The 6,433-nt window shown below is 51.3% G+C and overlaps 1 protein-coding gene and 1 long non-coding RNA gene across 6 annotated transcripts in view, besides 2 other annotated features; one reads left to right on the top strand and one right to left on the bottom strand.

Moving 5' to 3' along the window:
• Nucleotides 1-368: 368 nt before the first annotated feature.
• USP46-DT (USP46 divergent transcript) lies at nt 369-2,461 on the bottom strand. Its single transcript, NR_125363.1, has 2 exons — nt 2,191-2,461; nt 369-975 (listed from the first exon to the last, which is right to left on the bottom strand). It is a non-coding gene; the product is annotated as a USP46 divergent transcript (long non-coding RNA).
• Nucleotides 2,153-2,582: a silencer, noted in NCBI's record as "silent region_15424". NCBI's record gives its function as "represses an Ori minimal core promoter by ATAC-STARR-seq in GM12878 lymphoblastoid cells {active_cell/tissue: GM12878}" and the evidence as "EXISTENCE:reporter gene assay evidence [ECO:0000049][PMID:35858748]".
• The window catches only part of USP46 (ubiquitin specific peptidase 46), a 68,342-nt gene continuing 64,474 nt past the window's right edge, over nt 2,566-6,433 (top strand). For 2 of the 5 annotated variants that reach the window (NM_001286767.2, NM_022832.4), the window contains exon 1: nt 2,566-2,752. In NM_001286767.2, coding sequence (NP_001273696.1) covers nt 2,717-2,752 — 36 coding nt within the window. In that variant the 5' untranslated portion in view covers nt 2,566-2,716. Of the gene's footprint in view, nt 2,753-3,585; nt 3,694-5,327; nt 5,572-6,433 lie in introns of those variants that run through there. The other 3 variants (NM_001286768.2, XM_047416088.1, NM_001134223.2) reach the window with 3 other exon arrangements.
• Nucleotides 2,593-3,112: a silencer, noted in NCBI's record as "silent region_15423". NCBI's record gives its function as "represses an Ori minimal core promoter by ATAC-STARR-seq in GM12878 lymphoblastoid cells {active_cell/tissue: GM12878}" and the evidence as "EXISTENCE:reporter gene assay evidence [ECO:0000049][PMID:35858748]".

Below are 6,433 nucleotides of genomic sequence, written 5' to 3'. Positions count from 1 at the left end.
ATTATTGTTAAGACAGCACCAAGCCATGAGGGATCCTTCCTCATGTTGCAAACACCTTCCACCAGGCTCTGCCTTCTAGCTCTGCCTCCAGAATTGGGGATTCCAATTTAACATGAGATTTGGATGGGGACAGATATCCAAACTATATCAGCCGTGTAGTGCCACCCTCTAACCCATCCTTCCATTTTCTTGCTTTTCCCAGTCCTAACTATACCTGCATATCAGCTTACCTCAAAGTTCTCTCATTAGCTTGTCAATATTTTTAAGATTTTACCTCTTATCATCCCTGAATAATGTTTCCTCAATGAGTGAAGCTAAGATTATGATTATTCTTCTTCAACCCAAGAATTTTCCAATTTAGACCTGTGAATACCACACTTGTGGAAATGTAAAATGTATTTAATCTTTCATAAGTCTGACAAGCTCTGCCATGTTCAACTGATTTGTTGTGTATGTAATTCACTGCCTGAGTTTCAATCTGGATGTCTATATTGAACACTTCAGTTTTAGGATATATACCATTAAAAGGTATGCAAAAGATCCTTTTAACTTGCTGATATAGCACTCAGTAATCAGATGCTGTTCAATTTCCATTATGTCGATGGTGTTTTCAATCCTGTGAACTTTGCAATCCATGCGCCAATGTTGGCAGAAATACTGAACTCTTATTACAAAATTTTCATATCATTTAAAGCTTTAGATTATTGCCTTTATAGTGGAACTTCTGTGAAATTGAGTCCTGAGATCTGAGTTTTAGCCTTGAGGTTGCTCCTGACCTTGAGACATTAATACTCAAATCTTAAAGTTTTCTGGGCCTCCGTGCTGGGATTGGTCATAGTTCAGTTGTTTCCTGTCTTCTCTCTTCTCTTCCTCTCCCAGAGTGCTCAGCCCAGGTTACCACACCAACTTAATCTGTAACATTTCGGTAAGTCATCTGGGCAGGATCCTTGATCCTCTAAGCCTTATGTGACTGATCTGCAAAAAAGGAGATAATAGCATGTACCAGCTGATAGTTATGGTGGCGATTAAAGGAGATCAGGAATGTAAACATTGGGTGCAGTGGTTCACGCCTGTTGTCCCAGCGCTTTGGGAGGCCAAGGTGGGATGATTGCTGGAGCCCAGGAGTTTGGGATGACTCGGGGCTGCCCAGCCTCAGGCTGGGCAACATAGCGAGAACCTGTCTCTTAAAAAACAGAGAGAGAGAGAAGAAAATCAGTCATGACTTACAATGGAAGAAATTATCATCAGGATGTATTTGGAAATAATATTTAGGTTGAAAGACTTAAGCAGGAATATTATTTCTCATGTCCACTGGAAAACACAGTGACATGACTCCCAAAACCTTCAGTCAACAAGTCTGTCTTACTGTTTCCTCCCCAGATTCTAGGGATATTAGCAATCAACGGCTCTCAAATCTTTACTCTTGGTTAGATAAAAGCTATCTTCAACTAATTTTTCTTCTGATTCAATTTGTCATTAAATACACTGATCTAAGAATTTATCACGCATCTCACTTGTACAATTTCTCCTTTGAAAGCATCGAATTGCAACCTTGTATGTGTAACTGTTCCACACATTCAGAAACGGGCCCCTTCAATTCGCGTGGACCTATCTGCTAAGTGGTGCACAGACTCGCGCTCTGAGCCCGCAGCCACGACCTTTAATGCGGGAAATGTGCATGATCCCATACAGCGCCCATCTCAACAACTAGAGGCTGGGTGCACCCGAGAGGGGTATGCCTGCCTTGAAGATATGGAAAAGTTTTGTTTTCGTTCTTTCCACTCCTTGGACAGTCCCTAGTGCTTGCGCGGAACCGGGACGTCTCCTTTGGACCCGCTAATGTCACAAGCCGCCCGAGCGCGCCGCTGCTGGCCTCCGCCCAGACCCGGATTCCTCCCCCTTCCCGGCGCCCTTTCTCGGGCGCCCGGCCCGCAGCTGGCGAGGGCTCTCTGACCGCTCCGGTGTCCTCGCCCCATTTTACTTCTTGGGTCCCCGCCGGTGCCATCTGGTTGGAACCCTCGGGAGGAACTAAAAGTTGGACGTCGCCACCCCTACCCCTCGCCAAAAAATAAACACCGGGGGCTGCCGAGGCCCGCCAGGAGGAAGGCGACGAGGAAAAAGCGAGGACGGAAGGCGGCCCCGGGTTCGCCCCGGCCTGGGCCGCCCGCTTCCCCACCCCGCGCACCGTACCGTCCCCGGCTCCCTGGCTCCCCGACGGCGAGGAGGGCCGCCGCTTCCGCGTCGGGGTCGGCCGGGGGACCTGCGAGGTGCGGCTGCCGCAGCGGCGCGCCCCGGAGCCTGGCCCGGCATTCCAGTCCGAATAGAAAGAGGCAGGGAATCAAATGGAAAAGCAGGAGGCCAGGCCTGGGCGGGCGAGCTGGGAAGGAGGCGGCGCGGCGGGGCCCGGGAACCCAGCCTGGAGCGCTCTGAGCGGCCGGCTCGGACTCACGCGGCGCGCCCGGGCCGCCCCTCCTCCCCGCGCCGCCGGCCGCGGCCCAGGCTCCCTCGCTCCGCCACTCCCCGCCCCTCCGCGCTCCCTCCCCGCCCTCCCCGCGCCGCCGCCTCCTCCTCCCGGCCTCCCTCTCCCAGCCAAACTGAAAGCCGGACCCCAGGCCGCCGCGCTGCCGCCCGGCCTCCCCGCCAGCGCGCCACCATGGGCAGTCCCGGTTTCCCCTTGTAAAGATGGCGGTGAGGGATCGCTGCAACCTTTAGACTAATGACTGTCCGAAACATCGCCTCCATCTGTAATATGGTGAGTGGCCGAGCCGCCTCGGGGTCGCGCCCGACTCGCGGCGAGGCAAAGAAAGGGAAGCCCGAGCTGCACACACGCCCGGTGGCTGGGGCGGCGGGGGCGGCGGGGTCCGCGCCGCCAGAAGTTCCCGGCCCCCGAGCTGGGCGCGCGGCCGCAGCCACCTCAGCGGCCGGGGAGGGTCCCCGAGCCCCCGGCGCCCGTCTCAGCCCCGGGACCTCGGAACCCGCCCGGCGATCCCGGGGCCGCGCTGCTGCGCCCCCCGCCCTCGGGTTGCGGTGGAAGCGGCTTGAGGGAAGGGAAGCGACCGAACCTGAACGTCCCCGGGGAGGGGGTGGGGGATAAGCTGGAGGTGGGGGGCACCCATCCTCTTCTTGCGGTCAAGACAGCCTTATTGGACGTCCAGACTGCCCTCATCTCATTTTGAGTTCAGTCCTTCCGAGGTGTTTAAAATTCACTTTGCAATAGCAATTGTGTATCTGGAGAAATCGGAAATGTAATAAAGCTGTAAAAAAAGTGCAAAATTGTGGCTGGAGAAGTGAACTTCAACCTGGTTTGAAAAAGCACCGTAATTTGCTCCGCATGCCTCAGTTTCCCCATCTGTGAAAAAGGGACAAGGCTCTGTGGCGGTAATATTTGCAGGCCCTAAGGGTGGGGCGGGCTGTGGGCTTGGAGGAGGTCTCCAGGGTTATCCTGCCTGATCCGCTGTAGACCTAGGGGAGGCTGGCGGGCATGGATACAGCCAGGGACATCACTGGGTTCTGATGCAGTCCGAGCCCATGATGCGGTGGTCACTTTAATTTGGGTTTCCCCCATTGCTTTCCCTTTTTCTGTAGGAAGAACCTCCAGCCCTTGGGTCCCCAGGCTGGACCCTGCTGGCGCCTCCACTTGTCAGAGCCTTTGGGGAGCTCAGATTGGAGTAAGGCATTGCTGTCCCTTGCAGGGTGAGATGATGTGTGTTTTGCCTACATTCTTTAGACTGCACCCCGCCTCCCCTCTAGCCCCCTCCCAAGCGGGTCCCCGGAGGCAACACGTGCTCTTACAGTGCCAGTTTGAGGAAAACCTCCCTTGAAGCTAGTAATACTGGCCCCTAAAGGGAATCCAAGGAAGCTTGATGGAGAAGCCCTGGTGTAAGGTGATCTGGCTGCCCTTCCCCCATCACATAGCTTTTTAAATCTTCTGTCCCACATTCTGTTGCAAGATCAACACATGGCAAAGGAGCATTAAGAAGCCTTGTGTTAGCTCAGGGGTGGAATTGAGACCCGCTGGCTTCAGCTTTCAGCACAATGGGACGTGCCACTGTCACGGCCAGCAAAGCAAATGCTGGGGCCTCCCAGAGTGATAGCTGCACAGGTACTGGTTGGTGCCGGGCGAGTTCCATACGGGGAGTGGATCCTAGAGCCTTTCTGTTTTCTCTTTTTTTCCTTTCTCTGCGAGGAGTCAGATTTCCTCTTATTCCTGTGGAGGGGCTGCTTGTGAAGAGGTGATGCCTTCTCAGTTTCTCTCCTACGACCAGTTCCTGAGGGAACTGTGAATCGGGAGCAGCTTGAATACTCTTTTATGTCTGTTGGTGTGGCCGCAGGCCTAAGGATACTACAGGGTAGTGAGGCTCCGACCCAGCCCTTGGTGGTGTTCTTGTCCTGCTTGTGTGTGGTTACACCTCTCTGTGTAGAAGCAGGCTGGAAACTTGAGAGCTAGCATGCCCCTAGAGGAAGCCAGCCCCCAACCTCCCCCCACGCGTCCCCCCACCCACCCTCAGTGCTGCGGGGGCTTTCTGGCACACCTGGGCTGAATGTCACAACGTGTTTCAGTGAAACTCAGTCAGGGAGACAGGGTGTGGGGAGGACCTGAGAGGAGCAGGCCAATACTGCCCTGAGAGTTGACATCTCAGGTGGAGACCTAAAAAGGTACCAAATTTAGGACCATCACCCAGATGAAGTGAGGAACCAGTAATTCATTAAGTAAGGAGTCTGATGTTGTATTTAGACGCCATGTCTAGAGAGTGACAGAGTTTGGGTTCTAATGTCAGACTTCCTGGGTTCAGGTCCTGGTTCTTTTTTTTTTTTTTTTTTTTTTTGACAAGGTCTCACACTGTCACCCAGGCTGGAGTGCAGTGGCATGAACATGGTGGCTCACTGCAGCCTCCACTTCCCAGGCTCAAGTGATTCTCCCACCTCTGCCTTCTGAGTAGCTGGGACTACAGGCACGTGCCACCATGCCTGGCTAATTTTTAAATTTTCCATAGAGACTGGGTCTCCCTATGTTGCCCAGGCTGGTCCCTAATACCTGGGCTCAAGTGGTCCTCCCACCTCAGCCTCCCGAAGCGCCAAATTACTGCCGTGAGCCACCATACCCGGCAGGTCCTGGTTCTAACACATGTTGGCTTTGTGTCCTTGAACAAGTTGTCCGGTCTTAGACTTTCCTTATCTACCAAAAGGTGATGTTAATATTGTTGTATTACTCGGGCACAGGGCCTGGTACATGGCTAGAACTCAGTGAGTGTCATTGTCAACATCATCTTTCTCATTGTTATGTCATCTACCAGGTGTTTAAGGGACAGTGGAGATCATGCCATTTCAGACCTGGTGGAAGCAACCACTAATATAAACACCTCCCATGTATAGGAAGGCTGGAGTGGGAATCCTTAACCCCGCCCCCTGCTCAGGTCAATCCCCCACCCACCGCCCCCACTGTCCCTCCCAGTCTTCCTTCCCAGAGGAGAAGGCTGGGTATGAGGAAACTGCTGTCTTTTCACTGGATCAGACGTAAATATTAACTGGACCTCTCTTTAGATTCTTTGCTCAATAATGAATTGTTTTCAGGTAGGTGTCTTACAGGTCCCTTCTCACTGCTTAGCTCCTCTGTGGGCCTCTTACTGACCCTTCCCGCTCCTAACTTTGGTCCCAGCTGGTTTGAGTAGTTGTAGTAAGAGCAAATGGTGATTGCATTTTTTTCTTAAGCACATCGTTTAACATATTTTGAACAGGCTGATATGTGTTCAGAAAGGATATTAGAAGGTACCATTTTTCTGGGTAACAGGAAAAAACGAAGATCTATCATTGAAAGTGGATTTGTTTCCTCCACCAGATAAGAAAGGACCCAGCAGAGCAGAAATCAAATTTGTAGCAGATACTTCGTGTGATTGAGAACTAAACATCCCCTCTTTTCCCCATACTTCTTGTGCCAGTTTTAGTTATAGGAAACTTGGAAAATATCTTCATTCCTCCACTTACCCACCCACTTGCTGAAGTTTTATTGTTCACTGGAAGTTTAGTACTAGTTTCTATTTGTTTTAATTTTTCTTCCATGTGAATTCCTGCCATGGTAATTCTTGATGAACTTGCTCAGGGCAAGGCAGCTTGGCCACACAGCAGTGTGTGGTTCAGAGATAGTAAAGCTTGTTTGGCTGGTGTGTTGTAATTTTCATAATGCACTAGCTGCTACCAAGCATGAGGAAATGTCTTCTGTTGATAATCCTCTGATTTTTGTCCAGACCAATGGATTTAACTTCCTATATATTTTTATGGCCCTGCAAATGGAAAGTTTTTGTTTTTGGGTTTTTTAAGTTTCCTATTTGAAGAGCTTGAGAAATTTTCTAAAAAGGAAGCATTAGTTAGAAGAAACCAAATGTGACATACCAATGCAAGTTGCTTCAGATCATCTAATCTTATTTCATTTGTTAAT

Source organism: Homo sapiens, chromosome 4 (assembly GCF_000001405.40).
Source record: "Homo sapiens chromosome 4, GRCh38.p14 Primary Assembly".
Lineage (NCBI taxonomy): Eukaryota > Metazoa > Chordata > Mammalia > Primates > Hominidae > Homo > Homo sapiens.
Note: the sequence above shows the minus strand (reverse complement) of the source record. Positions and strands in the feature narration are given on the sequence as shown.